At 51.8% G+C, this 17,966-nt stretch overlaps 1 protein-coding gene and 1 long non-coding RNA gene across 17 annotated transcripts in view, besides 5 other annotated features; one reads left to right on the top strand and one right to left on the bottom strand.

The window, feature by feature from the left end:
- Positions 1-1,177: 1,177 nt before the first annotated feature.
- Positions 1,178-14,375, bottom strand: CAMSAP1-DT (CAMSAP1 divergent transcript). 10 transcript variants are annotated; one of them, XR_007061857.1, is made up of 4 exons: positions 13,709-14,375; positions 13,289-13,556; positions 12,722-13,211; positions 1,178-8,804 (listed from the first exon to the last, which is right to left on the bottom strand). It is a non-coding gene; the product is annotated as a CAMSAP1 divergent transcript (long non-coding RNA). The 10 variants fall into 10 exon arrangements; XR_007061858.1 differs by having other exon boundaries at positions 1,178-6,680; XR_007061853.1 differs by having other exon boundaries at positions 13,289-14,375.
- Positions 14,094-14,773: a silencer, noted in NCBI's record as "silent region_20492". NCBI's record gives its function as "represses an Ori minimal core promoter by ATAC-STARR-seq in GM12878 lymphoblastoid cells {active_cell/tissue: GM12878}" and the evidence as "EXISTENCE:reporter gene assay evidence [ECO:0000049][PMID:35858748]".
- The window catches only part of CAMSAP1 (calmodulin regulated spectrin associated protein 1), a 99,060-nt gene continuing 95,755 nt past the window's right edge, over positions 14,662-17,966 (top strand). For all 7 annotated transcript variants that reach the window (NM_001437281.1, XM_011518273.3, NM_001437280.1 and 4 more), the window contains exon 1: positions 14,662-15,208. Coding sequence is in view for 2 of the 7 variants with exons in the window: in NM_015447.4 (NP_056262.3) it covers positions 15,049-15,208 (160 nt within the window). In the remaining 5 variants the exon portion in view is untranslated. The remainder of the gene's footprint in view (positions 15,209-17,966) is intronic.
- Positions 14,814-14,923: a silencer, noted in NCBI's record as "silent region_20491". NCBI's record gives its function as "represses an Ori minimal core promoter by ATAC-STARR-seq in GM12878 lymphoblastoid cells {active_cell/tissue: GM12878}" and the evidence as "EXISTENCE:reporter gene assay evidence [ECO:0000049][PMID:35858748]".
- Positions 15,004-15,073: a silencer, noted in NCBI's record as "silent region_20490". NCBI's record gives its function as "represses an Ori minimal core promoter by ATAC-STARR-seq in GM12878 lymphoblastoid cells {active_cell/tissue: GM12878}" and the evidence as "EXISTENCE:reporter gene assay evidence [ECO:0000049][PMID:35858748]".
- Positions 15,474-15,523: a silencer, noted in NCBI's record as "silent region_20489". NCBI's record gives its function as "represses an Ori minimal core promoter by ATAC-STARR-seq in GM12878 lymphoblastoid cells {active_cell/tissue: GM12878}" and the evidence as "EXISTENCE:reporter gene assay evidence [ECO:0000049][PMID:35858748]".
- Positions 16,170-17,369: an enhancer, noted in NCBI's record as "P300/CBP strongly-dependent group 1 enhancer chr9:138796685-138797884 (GRCh37/hg19 assembly coordinates)". NCBI's record gives its function as "activates an origin of replication core promoter dependent on BRD2, BRD4, P300/CBP, MED14 and CDK7 cofactors, with strong dependence on P300/CBP, by STARR-seq in HCT116 cells {active_cell/tissue: HCT116}" and the evidence as "EXISTENCE:reporter gene assay evidence [ECO:0000049][PMID:35650434]".

The raw sequence follows: 17,966 nt of genomic DNA, 5'->3' as shown, positions 1-17,966 counted from the left end.
TCCTGAGGGGGTGCAGGGCCCGATTTGGAAGGCCTGGGTCCAGGGTGGAACACTGCCACCTTTACCAAGGCTTGTGTGACCTTGTTGCCAGGGGAGGGTCTGATGGGCCGGCCCGCTGGGGATATCTGGGCTACCAGCTGGGCCATCCTGGGGCCACTGAGAAGGCGAAGGGCTCAGAGCTCAGCCAGGTCAGGGTTTCCTCTCTCATCGCTCCCCACTCCTCCGTCCATGCCTAGGGGCATCTGCAGGGCTGGTCTGGGGCCGCCCAGAGGCTGTGAGGGCCAGAGGCCTCACCCGGGTCACCACCCAGAGCAGGAGGTGAGCTGGGGGCACGGGAGCAAAGGCGAGGCAGGCAGGCTCGGGGAAGAGCTCCAGGAGGCAGGTGTGCAGTTAGCGTTAGGGTTATGAAGGAGGGGAGGGGATGTGTGGGTAATGGTGCATTTTGCCTTCTCCAGCAGCTGGGTCTGAAATGCTTGGGGATCAGGTCACCCAGGAGGGTGGGGTGACCAGAGGCCAGGGTTCCAGAAAGGGCTGGCACCTGACCATGTTGGACTAGGGTGACAGGGACTGGGTCCATGTGCCACAATCCACACGAGGGTGTCCCATTTGTCCCTCTACCTCCCCCCACGGAGGTGGGAACCTGGGGCTGGTGAGGGTGATGGCACCTCTCTGCAGGGCCCCCAGATTCCTGATGCATAAGGAAACAGCGCCCACTCGTCCCACTTCTCAGGTCGTTGAACACCAGCAGTCACGGAACACCGAGGCATGATCCACGCAGCATGACAGGCAAGCAGGGCAGGGGAGCAGGGCCAGAGCCGGGGAGCCCAAGGTGGCCTCAGAGAGCACCTGTGTGGAGGCAGGCCCGGGGGGTGTCCTGGGCTCGCCCGTCCCAGGAGCCGGATGGCTGGCCGAGCAGTGTGAGAGAGGACAGAGCCCAGTGCAGGACGGGCAAACCCAGGAGGTGTCTGGGAGCACCAAGAGCAGACAGCTTCTCCCGTGGGAGAACAGAGCGCAGCTGCTCTTGGGGAAGGAATGTGCGTGAGGCTGAAACTCGGGCGTTCGCCAGGTCTCGGGTGGCACAGACCTCTTACCTGTCCCATGCTGTGGCCGTTCAAAGCTCACCCCTACCTGGCAAAACCGCATTCCTTATTATTTATCTCACAAGGGAGAAATGGAATTTAATTCACTTAATTAAATTAGCATTTAATTCACTTAATTAAAAATTCGCATTTCCTCCTTGGGGAGTGATAATATGGTAAGGCCAGGGAAACCCTGCTTTAAGTGTGACTGGCTGGGTGCCACCTGTGCCAGCCTGGAGCGACCTGGCCGGAGTGTTAGGGGCTGTGGTGTCCGGCGGGTGTCCAGGTCTGATGGGAGATGGTCCGACTCCCTTGCATACTTGTAGAGAGTGACATTTTTCAGTGCAAGTGTCCACAGGTTTCCTCCCCAGCGGTGGGTTAGCCATGGGATGGGAGGTCTGAGCACCCCTGCTGGGTCCTCCCAGGGCTGGGCCCGCACCCAGCAGACAGTGCCAGGCCTGGTTCAGGCCTCAGGAGAAGCAGCCCTGAGATTCACAGAGGCCAATGTCCCTAAGTCTCTGAGACTCAAGTTTCCACATTTGCAAACTAGGGGACATCCTGGGGCCCAGGTGCAGCTCCTAGTCCTGGGTCGGCACACAGCAAGTGCCCAGGAGTGGCTGGCAATGTCAGTGTGCCAGGATCTGAGCCTGCCCCGAGGGATTGGGGATGGTGCCCCCAGCCTCCGAGGCTCCCAGCAAAGTGGGGACCCTTCCTTAGGGTTCATAGACATGGTGTGCATCCAGAGAGAAACTCGGCAGCCACAGGGTCACCTCCCAGGTCCCTGGGATAGCTCAGCTTTCAGCGCTCGTGGAGCCCACCCCAACCCCAGCCCCCCATTGTCCCTGCTCGCAGTGCTCATTGCCGTGGTTCATAGGCTCTAAACTACCCCCTCCTGGCAGAACATTCCAGTGGGCCAAAGCAATCCTCCCGCCTCGGCCTCCTGGGTAGCTGGGACCAAGGGCACACGCCACCACACCCGGCTAATTTTTTTGTAGAGGTGGAGTCTTGCTATGTTGCCCAAGCTGGTCTTGAGCTCCTGGGTTCAAGCGATCCTCCCACCTTGGCCTCCCAAAGGGCTGGGATTACAGGAGTGCACCACGGCCTCAGTCCGTTTTTATTTAACAGGTGGAATTTTTGCGGTGGCTCTGATGGAGGCCAGAGGGGTCAGAAACCTGCCTCTGAACTACCCTTCCCATGTCACTCCTGGACTGGGGGCTTCCGGGGTGCCTCCTTGCAAGTCAGCATGAGAGTCCTCCCTCCCATGAAGAGTCCACAGAGGCTCTGCTGACATCCTTCCTGCCCTCTCATTTTCTGCTGAGGGTGTTTTTTGGTAGGTTCAAGATGCCCAGCGAGCTGGGATTTCCTGGGTTCCAGCAGCCCCTGCAATTTCCCCAGGAGCTGGGACTGCAAGTGGGCCCACCACACCCGCTCTTGCAGAACCTGGGGGAGAAGGGGCCAGACAGCATGGGTGGAGTGAGGAGGGGGCCAATGGGGAACAGAGTGGGGGAGGTGTGTATGGTGTGGTGGGGGCAGGTGCAGCCCTGGCCTGAGCTGAGGCTCCAACCCTCAGCGGATCCCATCCTGGTGAGACACCGCTGCGCTGTGCACCCCAAGATGACGGGGGCCTGGCACCATGGGGGCACCCGCTGGAGGGCAGAGATTGACCATTGCAGGTGCGCAGGTCACTGGCATTAAGCAGTCACAGCAATGCGGGACCATCACCTCCCTCCCTCCACAGAACTCTCCATCTGCCCACTCTGTCCCCATGAAACACTCACTTCCGTCCCCTCCCCAGCCCGGCAGCCACCTTTCTACTTCTTGTCTCTATGAATCTGATGACTCTGGGGACTGCCAATGAGTGGGACTACAGGATGTGTCCTTTCATGACTGGCTCATTTCACTCTGCATAATGTTCTCAAGGCTCATCCGTATTGTAGTGTGGGTCAGAGTTTTCTTCCTTTTTAGGGCTGAGTAGTATTTTCTTGTGTGGTGAGGCCGCATTTTCCTTATCCATCTGTCCACAGACACTTCAGCTGTTTCCACCCAAGTGGAATAAGCTGCCGTGAACTGGGGTGTCCAAACACCCCTTGGAGACCCTGCTTTCAATTACAGGGTCCCATGGTAATTCTGTTTAATTGTCTGAGGAACTTCCATGCTGTTTTTCACAGTGGCTGCACCATTTTACATTCCCAGCAACAGTGCACAGGGCTTCTCGTTTCTCTACATCCTCCCTGGTACTTGCTATTTTCTAGTTTTTTGGTAGCAGCCATTCCAGTGGCTGGGAGGGGGTCTCTCGTGGTTTTTGGTTTGCATTTCCCTACTGACTAGTGATGTTGAGCATCTTTTCATGTGCTTCTTGGCCATCTGTGTATCTTTTTTGGAGAAGCGTCTATGCAAGTCTGTTGCTCATTTTTTAACCACGTTGTTTGGTTTTCTATTTTTGAGTTTTAGGAGTCTTGGATATTAATCCCTTTTCAGATACAATATTTGCAAATATTTTCTCCCATTTTGTAGGTTGTCTTTCTACTCTTTTGTTTTGTTTTTTTTTTGAGACAGTCTCACTCTGTCACCCAGGCTGGAGTGCAGTAGCACAATCTCGGCTCACTGCAACCTCTGCCTCCTGGGCTCAAGCGATCCTCTTGCCTCAGCTCTGCAAGCAGCTGGGACTATAGGAATGAGCCACCATGCCTGGCTAATTTTTGTGTTTTTTTGTAGAGATGGGGTTTCACCATGTTGCCCAGGCTGGTCTCCAACTCCTGAGGTCAAGTGATCCACCAGCCTCGGCCTCCCAAAGTGCTAGGATTACAGGCATGAGCCACCATGCCCAGCTTCTGCTGACAGTGTCTTTTAATGAAAGCAATGTTTTGATTTTCATGATGTCCAATTTATCTTTTCTTTTGTTGCCTGGGCCTTTGGTGTCATATCCAAGAAATCATCGCCAAATTCAGTGTTACGAAGCTTTTGCCCTATATTTTTCTTTTTCTTTTTTTTTGCTACAGGGTCTTGCTCTGTCATCCAGGATGGAGTGCAGTGGTGTAATCACGGCTCACTGCAGCCTCAAACTCCGGGACTCAAGTGATCCTCCCACCTCAGCCTCCTGAGTAACTGGGACTACAGGTGTGCACCACACCTGGCTCATTTTAAAATTTATTGTAGAGACAGGGTCTCTCTCTCTGTTGCCCAGGTTGGTTTCAAACTCCTGGGCTCAAGAGGTCCTCCTATTTTTTGAGACAGAGTCTCGCTGTTGCCAGGCTGCAGTGCGGTGGTGCAATCTCAGCTCACTGCAACCTCTATCTACCTCCTGGGTTTAAGCGATTCTCCTGCCTCAGCCTCCTGAGTAGCTGGGACTACCAGCACATGCCACCACACCCAGCCAATTTTTGTATTTTTAGTAGAGATGGGGTTTCACCACTTTGGCCAGGATGGTCTTGATCTCTTGACCTCGTGATCCACCTGCCTCGGCCTCCCAAAGTGCTGGGATTATAGGCGTGAGCCACCACACCCGGCCTCGGGGGATGAGTCCTCCTTTCTCAGCCTCCCAAAGTGCTGGCATTACAGGCACGAGCCACTGTGCCTGGCTTTGCCCTTTATTTTCTTCTTAGAATTTTATAGTTTTGGATCTTACATTTAGGTCTTGGATCCATTTTGAATCTATCTGTGGTAAGGTAAGGGCCAAACTTTATTTTTCTGTGTGTGGATATCTAGTATTCCCAGCATCATTTGCTGAAAAAGACTGTCCTTTCCCCACTGAATGGTCTTGGCACCCTTATTAAAAAATCATCTGGCCATGTATGCAAGGGTTTGTTTCTGGGCTCGCTATTCTATCCCATTGGTTTCTATGTCTGTCTTTATGCCAGTGCCACATTGCTTACTATAGCTGTGTAGAAAGTTTTGAGATCAGGAAGTGAAAGTCCTTAAACTTTGTTCTTTTTCAGACTGTTTTGGCTAGTCAGGGTCCCTTGAGATTCCAAATGAATTTTAAGATGTTTTTCTGTTCCTGCAAAAAATGTCATTGGGATTTTATAGGGACTGCATTAAATCTGTAGATTGCTTTGGGTAGTACTGACATCTTAACCATATTAAGTCTTCCAGCCCATGAACACAAAATGTCTCTCCATTTATCTGTGTCTTAATTTCTTTCAGTAATGTTTTGTAGCTTTCACTGCCTTAATCTTGTTTTATTCTTTTTATGCTATTGTACATAGAATTGTTTTCATAATTTCCTTTTCAGATTGTTCTTTGCATCCTACTGCTTTGCTGAATTCATTCACTAGTTCTAACAGATCTTCTGTGGAATCTTTAGGATTTTCTTCATATAGGATCATATAATCTGTAAACAGAGATAATTTTACTTCTCCCTTTTCCATTTGGATGTCTTTTATTTTTCTTGCCTAATTGCTCTGGCTAGATCTTAATAGAAGGGACAAAAGTGGATATTTTTGCCTTATTCCTGATTTTAATTTTTTTTCAGATGGAGTATTGCTCTTGTTGCCCAGGCTGGAGTGCAATGGTGCGATCTTGGCTCACCACAACCTCTGCCTCCTGGGTTCAAGCGATTCTCCTGTCGCAGCCTCCGGAGTAGCTGGGATTACAGGTGTACACCACCACGCCTGGCTAGTTTTCTATTTTTAGTAGAGACATGGTTTCTCCACGTTGCTTAGGCCGGTCTTGAACTCCCAACTTCAGCTGATCCACTCGCCTTGGCCTCCCGAAGTGCTGAGATTACAGGCGTGAGCCACCGCACCCGGCCTCTTATTCCTGATTTTACAGGAAAAGTTTTCAGCCTTTCATCACTGAGCAGTGTTAGATGTGGGCTTTGCATAAATGGCTTCTATTATGTTGAGGTAGTTGCCTTCCAGTCCTAATCTGTTGAGTGGTTTTATCATGAAAGGGTGTTGTTTTGTCAAATGCTTTTTCTGCATCAATTGAGATGATCATGTAGTTTTTTCCTTCATGCTGTTAGTATAGTGTAGTACACTGATTTTTTTTTTTTTGTATACTAAGCCATCCTTGAATTCCAGGAATAAATCTCCTTGGTCATAGTGTATAATCCTTTCAATATGCCGCTGAAGTTTGCCAGTACTTTGTTGAGGTTTTTTGCATCAGTGTTCATAAGGAATATTGGTCTGTAGTTTTCTTTTCTTGTCATGTGTATGTCTGGCTTTGGTACCAGGGTAATGCTGGCCTCATAGAATGCGTTAAGAAGTGTTCCCTTCTCTTCAGTTTTTTGGAAATGTTTATGAAGGGCTCGTATTAGTTCTTCTTTACACGTTTGGTAGAATTCACCAGGAAACCATCAGGTCTTGGACTTTTCTTTGAGATTCAGATAATGCTTTTAATGCCTACAAAATTAAAAATGAAATTAAAGTACTTTCATCACAAATTTTAAACGGTGGTACAGTACTGCATGTGCCTCTTTATGAATGCATTAAATAATGTAATCAAGCAGCTGGTCCAGGAGTTATGGTAATTTTGGAGCAATGATGAGCAGAATGGTATTCTGTGGCATCTGCAGCAATGGTGATGTGATGTGAGACATCCACGACTTCTGTAGGAGGTGGAGTCCCGGACACTGCTGATGCTGCTGCAGCAGTTGGTTGCCTAGATTCATAATTCAGGAAAATGTTAAATTTTGGTTAAAGGCCAGTGATGATAAAGATGGTATTTTTTCCTGTCCCAGTTCTCAATATCAACCTTCTCGGTGTGCTGGATATGATAACTATCCCAAACACCCCCATGGGCCCATGTCACACATGAACATATTCTGTCATATCTGTCTTTCCAGAAAAAAAGTGCTGAGAATGACCACAGTAAGGGATGCTTTACTTTGAAACATTCCCTGGTGTACCCAGCCCTGACCAAGGGCTGTGTGGAGGCTGGAGTGTGCAGGTGCAAGGGGTGGTGCCCTGTGCAGGAGGGTGGCCTTGGCTCCTGGGGTGCACAGGCATGGCCTCTCTGCAGGACCTGTGCTTCCACTAGGAGGCTGTGGTGGTTACATGCTCCTGAGTGTGTCTGGGGAAGGAACTCAGTAACTAGTCACCATGTGTATATGTTTCCTGCAGCTGCTATGGCAAATTACCAAAAATTCAGTGGTCGAAACACAAGCATTTATTCTCTTACAGTTCTGAGGTCAGAAGTCTAAATTATCTCACTGAGGTAAAGTCAAGGTGTTGGCAGGGCTGGCTCCTTCTGGAGGCTCTAGGGTAGGGGAGAATCTGTCCCTGCCTTTTCCAGCTTCTAGGGGTCTCCACATTCCTTGGCTTGTGGCCCCTTCCTCTGCCTTCAAAGCCAGCATCTTCCCTCCTCTGACCCCTGCTTCTGTGGTCACATCTTCTGTCCAACTGTGAAGCTCCTACCTCCCTCTCATGATCGTGATTATATGGGACCTACCTGGATAGCGCAGGATAACCCCCCATCTGAAGGCCCTTCACTTAATCCCATCTCCAAAGTCCCTTTTACCAGGTACGATGATTTAAAAGATGGCATCCCCTCCAAAATTCATGTTGAAACTGAAAGTTGTCAGAATCAAAACAGAGTGACTAATGTTAAGAAAACCCTAACAAATAGAGCTAGGGAAGGCCATGAAGAGAGGGTCCATATGCCCGATAACAAAAACTATCACAAAAGACCACAAAACCCACAACCTTGCACAAAGGCCATTGAATTTTTTTTTTTTTTTTTTGAGCCCAAGTCTTGCTCTGTCGCCCAGGCTGGAGTGCAGTGGTGCAATCTTGGCTTACTGCAACCTCTGCCTCCCGGGTTCAAGTGATTCTCCTGCCTCAGCCTCCTGAGTAGCTGGGATTAGAGGTATGCATCACCATGCCCGGCTAATTTTTGTATTTTTAGTGAAGACAGAGTTTCACTATGTTAGCCAGGCTGGTCTTGAACTCCTGACTTCAAGTGATTAACCCACCTCAGCCTCCCAAACTACTAGGATTATAGGCGTGAGCCACCACACCTGGCCAAGGCCGCTGAAATCTTACACAAGAAAATACTTCTGCAAGGATACCTGCCCAGCAGCTACCTTCCAAACTTGGACCGGTGTCTCCCTTGCTATTAATCTTTGCAGTCAAGAGTATCATTTCAAAATGATTATGTAATCTTCCTTTCTTCCTTTAAAACTTTTGTCTTCCTTGAACATGCAGTTACCGTAATATACGTGTTCCCGTTGCAAGGCCCTATTCCTGAATAAATATCTCTTTAGAGAGCTCCTCTGTCATTTAGGTTAACTAACAACAAACTTGGTCCCCATTGTGGTGAAAGAAGAGGTGGGGCCATTTCGGACTAGGTCACGAGGGCTCCTCTTATAAAAGAGGCTTCCTGTGGAGTTTGGCCTTTTCTTGCCCCTCTGTCCATCCCACCTTGTGAGGACACAGCATTCTTCCCTCCAGAGGAAACAGTAACGAAGTGCTCTCACCAGACACAGGACATGCCAGTGCCTTGATCTTGGACTTCCCAGCCTTCAGAACCATGAGAAACAAATTTATATTGTTTATAAATTACCCAGTCTGTGGTATTTTGTTACAGTGGCACAAATGAACTAAGACACCAGGTAAGGTCACACATTCACAGGTTCCAGGAATTAAGATGTGGACATCTTTGTGTGTGTGTGTGTGGGGGGGGGTGTTGCTGTCACTGCACTATTTTGCTAGTGAGGAGTCCAGGGGCCTCATCCTGTTGCTTGTAGAATAAGCCAATGTCCACTTGGTGGGAACCTCAGGATGTCTAGGAACAAGATGGGAAAAGCAGGGCAAACAGGATGAGTTCTCCTCTTGTGCTCTCTGTGGGCAGGTGGGAGCCCCTCAAGGAATATGCCCATCCAACTCCTCCCCAGAAGGCTGGGCCCTGGAGTCACTGGAGCTGTGCCTGAGCAGCTGCTATGCTTGTAGGAGAGTTCTGAGCACCTTCCCTCTACCTTCATTGTATCTAATAATGCTGTAACCTAGTCTCAACATTAAAAACGAAAAAAAGGGCTGGGCGCAGTGGCTCATGCCTGTAATCCTAGCACTTTGGGAGGCCAAGACGGGTGGATCACGAGGTCAGGAGATCGAGACCATCCTGCTAACACGGTGAAACCCCGTCTCTACTAAAAATACAAAAAATTAGCCGGGCGTGGTGGTGGGCGCCTGTAGTCCCAGCTACTTGGGAGGCTGAGGCAGGAGAATGGCGTGAACTCGGGAGGCAGAGCTTGCAGTGAGCCGAAATCGTGCCACTGCACTCCAGCCTGGGCGACAGAGCGAGACTCCATCTCAAAAAAACAAAAACAAACCAAAAAAAACCCGAAAAAAAGGTCAGCCTGTTTTGCTCTAACAAAAATATTTTTCTCTTTTTCTTTTTTTTGAGTCAGAGGGTCTTGTTTTGTCACCCAGGCTGAAGTACAGTGGCACAATCCCGGCTCACTGTAGCCTCGACCTTCTGGGCTCAAGTGATCCTCCTACCTCAGCCTCCTGAGTAGCTGGGACCCCAGGTGCACACTATTGCTTCCTTCTATTTTTTTTATTTTTTGTAGAGGTGGGGTCTTATTTTGTTGCCCAGAATGGTCTTGAACTCCTGCGCTCAAGCGATCCTTCTGCCTTGGCCTCCCAAAGTGCTGAGATTACAGGTGTGAACTACCACGCTGGGCCAGAATTAGTTTTTTTTTTTGTTTTGTTTCGTTTTTGAGATGGAGTCTCCCTCTGTCTCCCAGGCTGGAGTACAGTGGCACGATCTTGGCTCACTGCAACCTCTGCCTCCCAGGTTTAAGCAATTCTCCTGCCTCAGCCTCCTGAGTAGCTGAGATTACAGGCACATGCCACCACGCCCAGCTAATTTTTGTATTTTTAGTAGACAGAGTTTCACCATGTTGGCTAGGCTGGTCTTGCAGAATTGGGTTTTATAATAAGCAATGAGAAGCATTATAGCAGCCCTGATAATGAAACTTTAATGACATAGAGACTTCTTCCTCTTCTCCTTGTGGTTTGTCCTTTAAGCCTAGGGGGACCTCTGGTCCCTGGACTCTCCCCTCTCCCCACTGAGGTCTGGCGTCAGCATGGGCCCTCTCACATGCCCTCAACTGTTCTGCCCTGGTCAAAACAGCCACTGTCTAGGCCCCACCTTCATCCTGTGTTCTTGGTGAGTGGACATACACCTGAACCACCCAGTCTTCCTGTCCACTTAAGGGATGTCCCCAGAGAGGCGAGAATACCGCCCCACATCCAGCCCAGATAACTATCTTGGGCCTTCTGTGCCTCCAACCTGCCGTGCCTCTGCCCTGCCCTTAACCAGTCATAGGGCCACCAGGGGAAAACCAGCCAGGCTCCCATCCCAGCCCAGCCCAGCCCTCCTTCAGTCCTGCACCCTGCTGCCTTCTCTTCTGCTGCTACAGGAGGAAAAAGGGTCTCTCTGCTGGGCTCCTGCTCAAGGGCACACGACACCTGCTCCCCATCATCAGATCCTGTCTACTGCATCACTCCAACGGGCACCTGTCATCACTCCATCTTAAACACGCCATTCCGCACCCCATGCCTCTGTCTCGCTGCTCTCCTTTACAGCAAACTCAGGGACAGAATGCAAATACTCATCCTCGGAACTCCTGCCTGTCTTTTGTCCCCACCCATATCTCATCTTGAATTTGCACATGCTGTGGGAGGGACCCGGTGGGAGGTAATTGAATCATGGGGCAGGTCTTTCCCATGCTGTTCTCGTGATAGTGAGTAAGTCTCACGAGATCTGACAGTATCATATTAGGGGGAGTTTCCCTGCCCAATCTCGCTCTTTGCCTGCCGCCATCCACGTAAGATGTGACTTGCTCCTCCTTGCCTTCCACCATGATTGTGAGGCCTCCCCAGCCATGTGGAACTGTAAGTCACTAAACCTCTGTCTTTTGTAAATTGCCCAGTGTCGGGTGTGTCTTTATTAGCACCGTGAAAACGGACTAATACACCACCATTCCACAAAACCTGCACTCGCCAAATCTGAGTTAGCTCCCAGGCCATAAGCTGGGGACCCCTCTCCTGGCTTCTCACCTTTCAGGCTGACTACTCCCAAGTGCTGCCCCTAGGCCCAAGCACCATGCCTCGACTTCCCCTCCACCTGAGCAATGGCTCCTTGGCGCCTCCTCCTGTCTCACAGCTCTAAAGGCTCTCTCTGTGGTGACAATTCCCAGTCTCCAACCTGGGCCACGCCGGTGACTTGCTCATCCAATCGCCCACCAGCGTTTCCATGAGGAGGCCCAACAGGCATCTGAGACTCAACACAGCCAAAGCCACAGCCCAAACTCCGCCGGTATTATATTAGGGGGAGTTTGTGGGAGATACCTGGTGGGAGGTAAAATCCCTGTACCACCCTGCCTCGACCTTTCCCATCTTGGTTAAGGATAACTTTCTCCTTAAAATTGCTTACGCCCAAAACACTGTAACTTAAATAAAACGGACAAATTCCTCTAAAGACACAAACAGATGATCTGAATAGACCTACAACAAATAGAGATTGAATTAATAATCAAAATAAGTAATCAAAAAAGCCCAGACCCAAATGGCTTCAATAATGAATTCTATGAAACACTTAAACAATTAAAGCTGGGTCCAGTGGCTTGTGCCTGTGATCCCAGCTACTCAGGAGGCTTGAGGTGGGAGGATCAGTTGAAGCCAGGAATTGGTGACCAGCCTGGATGATACAGTGAACAGCCATCTTAAAAAAAAAAAAAAAAAAAAAAAGAGGAACACTTCCAACTCATTTTATGAGGCCCAGTAGGACACTGATACCGATACCAAAACCAGACACAGACACCACAAGAAAACTTCAGACCAGTATCTATGATGAATATGGATAAAAAAAATCACTCAACAAAATTGTATTAAACTGAATCCAGGAAGACAGATACTCCATGACCAACTGGAATTTATCTGAACGCAGGGGATAAGTGTCTTTTCAATATCTGAAAGTCAATTAATGTAACACACCACATTACTAGAACAAGGAAAAAAACCCATGATCATCATCTCAATGGATGTGGAAAAATCATTTAACCAAATCTGACACGTTTTCATGATAAACACACTCAACAAACTAGAAATAGAAGATACTTCCTCGGCTGGGCGTGGTAGCTCACGCCTATAATCCCAGCATTTTGGGAGGCCCAGGGGGGTGGATTACTGGAGGTCAGGAGTTCAAGACCAGCCTGGCCAACATGGTAAAACCCCATCTCTACTAAAAATACAAAACTAGCTGGGCGTGGCGGCCTGTGCCTGCAATCCCAGCTACTCAGGAGGCTGAGGCAGGAAAATCGCTTGAACCTGGGAGGCAGAGGTTGCAGTGAGCCAAGATCCAGCCACTGTACTCCAGCCTGGGTGACAGAGTGAGACACTATCTCAAACAAACAAAAAATAGGTTTTATCAGGTTGAGGAAGTACCCTTTTTTTTAATGATTTTTAGACAGTTTCCCTTTTTTAGCTGGGATTACAGGCACCGGCCACCAACCTCAGCTAACTTTTTGTATTTTTAGTAGAGATGGGATTTCTCCATGTTGGCCAGGCTGGTCTCAAACTCTGGACCCCACGTGATCCGCCCGCCTCGACCTCCCAAAGGGTTGGGATTACAGGCGTGAGCCACTGTGCCCAGCCTGATAAAACCTATTTTTTAAGCACCCACAGCTATCATCATACCCAAAGGTGAAAGACTGGATGCCTCCTCCCTGAAATCAGGAGCAAGACAAGGATGTCCACTCTTGCTGCTTCTAGTCAATATTGTACTGGAGCTTCTAGATAGGGCAGCTAGGCAAGGAGAAGAAATAAAAGGCATCCAGATTAGAAAGGAAGAGATAAACTGATCTCTATTCACAAATGACACGCTTTTGTATAAAATCCCAAGGAATCCACTAAAACACTAGAACAACTAATAAATGCCACTAAAAGACAAGAAGAACTAATAAATGGGTTTAGCAAGGTTGCAGGATAAAAGATCAGTACACAAAAAGCCCTTAGAGTCACACTTGACCTTTCCGGGTCACACTCCACATCCCATATAACAGTAGATGGCCTCCTGCCTCCTCCTCAGCCCTTCCTAGTCTGTTCTTCACCCAGGAGTCAGAATGACCCTTTTAAAGGGTTAGTCATATCCTTCCGTGTGCTCAGTCTTCCGAAGGCTGCCCATTTCCTGCAGAGAAGGGGCCACAGTTCTGACTGTGCAGGACCTGTCTGCATCCCTCCATGTCCCCACCTCCCATTTCCTACCAGTCCTTCCAGCTCCTGCGTTCTCGACTTAGTGGCCTCTACTGTGTTTCTTACACTCCAGGCTCTCGTGTCTCAGAGGCTCTGTCTGCCGTGCTCCTTGCTCAAGACAGTACTTCTGCAGATATCCTTACCCTCGACGCCCACGTCCCGCCGGTCTTTGCTCAAATAAGTGCCCTCCTCCTATGGCTTTCCTTGACCGCTCTGCCCTGTCCACCTCGTGTTCTTTTCAGACGGCTGACTCAAGAAAAAATAGACAATCTCAACAGACCTATAACAAGTGAAGAGACTCAATTAGTAACCAAAAAACTATGAATCAAATAAGTCATCAAAAAAGCCCAGGCCCAAATGGCTTCAAGGTTGAATTGAAGCCTGCACGTGGGTTGGTATGTGAATGACGGACTGCCTGGGTCCTCTGGGCACCTGGCATTTCATACATGTTCCGCCTCTGGCACGGGGTGTCTCGACCAGGTACAGACAGGCTGGGAGCCCCGCGCCGGGCGCCCGCTCCCTGGAAGCTCGACCTCTCCCTGCCGTCAAGGCGCCGGTGGGCGGCACGTGGGCCGGCTCTCCCGGGGGCAGTTCTCTATTTCGCTGGTGAGGTTCTCAGACCAAATCCTCGGAATGCAAACTCTCACGGCGTTCCCGTAATTCTCAGCCCAGCGCGGGCCCCGACGCAGGCTCCAGGGGAACGAAGTCAGCGTCCCTTCCGGGGGATGCGCCGGCGGGGCCGCACCTGTTTCTGCCTCAGGGGTCCAAACGCCCACCTTCCCTGCACCGGGACGGGGGTCTGGAGACTGGCACGTCCACCTGGTGCCCGTCTGCTGGGCTGTCGCCTGCCGAGGTCGCCGCCGGCCACACCCACGAGGTCCCCAGGGCGCCGGCGGCGAGACCTCGGCCGGCCAGGGGGCCGGGCTGTGGCTGAGGTGGGACGAGCCAGGGCCGGGGAGGAGACACGGCGCTAAAAGAGGGCAGCTGCGGGCTCGGCAGGATCCCCGCCGCCGACCCACTCCACCCACCCCGCGCCGCCCACTCCCCGCTGCCTACGCCGCGCTCCACACCGCGGGCCTTAGAGCCTGAGGAAAGCAACGGGGCAGGCGCGGACCAGGGCGGGTCCTACTGCGCCTGCGGAAGCGGGCGGGGAGGGGCGGGTCGACGCTCACTGCGCCTGCGGAAAGGGGCGGGGCAGGCACAGGCCTGCGGGTGCCACCTACTGCGCCTGCGGAAAGGGGCGGGGCGGGCGCGGGCTGGCGGGCGGTGCCTACTGCGCCTGCGGAAAGGGGCGGGGCAGGCGCGAGAAGGGAGCGGAGCTGGGGGCGGGGTCGAGGGCGGGGTGGCGGGCGGTGCCTACTGCGCCTGTGCGAGGCCCCGGCGGTGAGCGCGCTCCCGCTCCTTGGCCACCGCCTCAGCCGCTGTCGCCGCCGCCGCCGCTCACCCGGGACCGCGCACGCGCTGCCACCGCCCCCGGCCCGCTCCCGCCCCCGCGCCCGCCCCCGCCCCCGGCCCGCGCCCTCCTGCCGCCGCCTCTTTGGGCCGCGGGCTCGGCACCTCCTCCGCTCGGGCTCAGCGCCCGCAGCATGCAGCAGCCGCGGGGGCGGCGACGGCGGCGGCTGTGAGGTGAGGCGGGGGCCGCGCTCGGGCGCCCCTCCCGGCTGGCCGGCTGCGGGGCCGAGTGGTGGCTCGGGGCGCACCGGGCCCGGCGCGGCGAGGGGCGGCGGCGCCTTTGTTGCGGCCGGGCCGCCGCCTCAGCCCTTTGTCTGCAGATGGTGGACGCGAGCGGCCGCGCCGCCGCCGAGGGCTGGAGGAAGATGGAGGCCCCGCCGGACGGCGCCGCCGACCTCGTGCCCCTGGACCGCTACGACGCGGCGCGCGCCAAGATCGCCGCCAACCTGCAGTGGATCTGCGCCAAGGCCTACGGCCGAGGTGGGCCGGGTGAGGGGCGCGGGGCGGGGGCCAGGGGCGCGGGCCGGGGCCGGGGGACGCGGCCGGGGTCCGGCCGGGTCGGGGTCCGCGCGCCGCGCCTTTGTGCCGCGTCCGCACAGGGTCGGGGCTGGGCCGGCCGCCTCCGAGGTCCTGGCGGCGCCCGGGCAACGCGGAGCGTGGGGACGCGGTCACCTGGCGAGTGGGCGTCCCTGCGGCGGAGGGCGGCGTGGGTCGGGGCTTCCGCTCCTATTTCGGGAGTGCCCCCAGCCTCCCGTTGGCGGCGGCGGCGGCGGGAAGGAGCTGCCCGGTTCTGGGCGCAGGGAGGGACCATGGGGACGCGGGGCCGCCGTCTGAGGCGCCGCTTCCCGGCGCGCCGGGCATCGTCCAGTGCTGGACCTGTGATTCCGAGCCTTGCACTTGTTATGAATTTTGATGCTTACAAGCTGTCAGCTGTTGAATTCCCCAACTAGAAATTGCGTATTCCGCGCATTGTGCTTAATCATAATGATCCCCTTTGGTTAATTCCTGTTTGGAAGAACTAGGTAACCTTGTTACTCAGTCCAGTTTGTTAGGCCCTAATGTGCTTAGTGGATTAAGACGCTTCTGTTTCGTGCCCTGGGAACAGGACAGACCTAGTGATTCTCGTCAGTGGCTGACTTCTTTATTAATTTCAGGTGCTTTGTTTCAGGTACAATTAAAGGTTAATATTTCTGCAATCCTCTTTTCATTTGAAGCATTCTTAAAATATTTGCCTTTATTCTGGTGAAAAATTACCCTTTTTAGAGTAAGACTAAAGGAGACAGCCCTTCCAGAGAAGAGTTCAGTTGACCAGTTTGGAAAACGCTGAGTAGGCGTTGCCCTGTTTGACAGTGGCCTGTGCCCCAGCTAGACTCGAGTTAGTCATAAGGACAAACGCGTTTTGTAAGTTTTAGGGATTAAATAACTCGCCTTATTTCAAACTGGTTTTTGTACTGTGTAAGTAGTAATTGGGAAAGAGTTTTTCCTTTGACAGTTTTCAGTTTTACAGTTCTTGTTTACTGGCTCAGTGGAACCTTAGTTTCTGTGTTGTAATGAGGAAGAAACACTGCTACATCCAAGACTTCACATGAGTTTTTGAGAACGGAATTGGTAAGATGTAGGTATGAAACTTGAGTCAGGTGCAAAGAACAGCCCGAGAGCGGACGCCTGGGTATCTTGCAGTCACTGCCGGCTGCGTGGGCTCACCTGCCTCACACCTTGTGTTAGTCACTGTTTTGCTTTTCTTTGTATTTTGCCGCATGTGCTTACACCACGAACTAGTTTTTACACCTTTGCCAATGATGTCTCTTTCTGAGACTGGCTTTTGTTATTCCCTTATCCCACGTTACGTTCTTAGGTTCTTCTTGACTTCATCTTCACTTTTCCACATTTCCGCTGCTGTGGAGTGTCTCACTGAGGACTGTTCACCGCAGCTGCTCGTGGGCGCTGGCTGGGCTCCCGTAGGTGCTGTGGAGCCCAGTGCATTCTTGGGCATGGCTCCTGGGATCCGAGCACAAAGTTTTACTCCTGCATGTTTTTTAAGATTTTATATGTGGAGAGGGCTGAGGGCTCAGGCAGCGGATGTTAGACAAATTGCTATAAAAAGAACTTTCACGATCTGCTTTCCAATTTCTTTAGCAAGGTGCATGCATTTTTTATTTCATTGCATTTAGCTTTGGCATTCAGCATGGGATTTGTCAGCCATCCAGAAATAAGTACGCGTGTCTCTGTGTTAGTATTGGGTTCGTCTAGTTTCACTTCCGGTACCAGGTCACTCTTTAATCCTTGTTGACTCATCGGATGATGAATTCACAATCTGATACTAACATGGGCTTTTGAGTTCTGGAATTATTAAAAGGTGGGCATTTAAAGAAAAGAAACATGAACAGGAGCTGGAGAAGACTGGACACCATCTTAGGAGCTGAGACTGGAGTGCCCCTTACTGGTGGGTGACAGTGCCTTCGCACATCAGACTCCGATTTTAGGAGGTCTGGTTTCCACTTTTTTTTTTTTTTTTGAGACGGAGTCTCGCTCTATCGTCCAGCCTGGAGTGCAGTGACGCGACCTCAGCTCACCGCAACCGCCACCTCCTGGGTTCAAGCGATTCTTCTGCCTCAGCCTCCCAAGTAGCTGGGATTACAGGCGTGCGCCCCCACTCCCGGCCAGTTTTTGTATTTTTCGTAGAGACGGGTTACTCCATATTGCCAGGCTGGTCTCGAACTCCTGACCTCACGATCCGCCTGCCTTGGCCTCCCAAAGTGCTGGGATTACAGGTGTGAGCCACCACGCCTGGCTGGTTTCCACTTCTTTTTGCCGAGAGAGGGCTTTTACATTCTATAGTTTGCTTCACAGGGGGAGCATATGTAATTACAAAAAAAAAAGTTTTTAAGCCAGGTGTGGTAATTTATACTTACAATTCTAGTGACTCGGAGGCAGAGGTAGGATGATCACTTGAGGCCAGGTGTTTGAGATGGAGTCTGCCTGTGTTTCCCAGGCTGGTCTCCAACTCCTGGGCTCCAGTGATCCTCCTGCTTCAGCCTCGTGTGTAATTTTCTTTTTTCCTTTTTTTTTTTTTTTTTGTGGAGGACAGGGTCTCGCTCTGTCGGCCAGGCTGGAGTGCAGTGGTGTGACCTCGGTTCACTGCAACCTCCGCCTGCCGGGCTCAAGTGATCTTCCCTCCTCAGCCTCCCGAGTAGTTGGGACTACAGGTGCACCACCACGCCTGGCTAACTTTTGTATT

Source organism: Homo sapiens, chromosome 9 (assembly GCF_000001405.40).
Source record: "Homo sapiens chromosome 9, GRCh38.p14 Primary Assembly".
In the NCBI taxonomy this organism is placed as follows: domain Eukaryota; kingdom Metazoa; phylum Chordata; class Mammalia; order Primates; family Hominidae; genus Homo; species Homo sapiens.
Note: the sequence above shows the minus strand (reverse complement) of the source record. Positions and strands in the feature narration are given on the sequence as shown.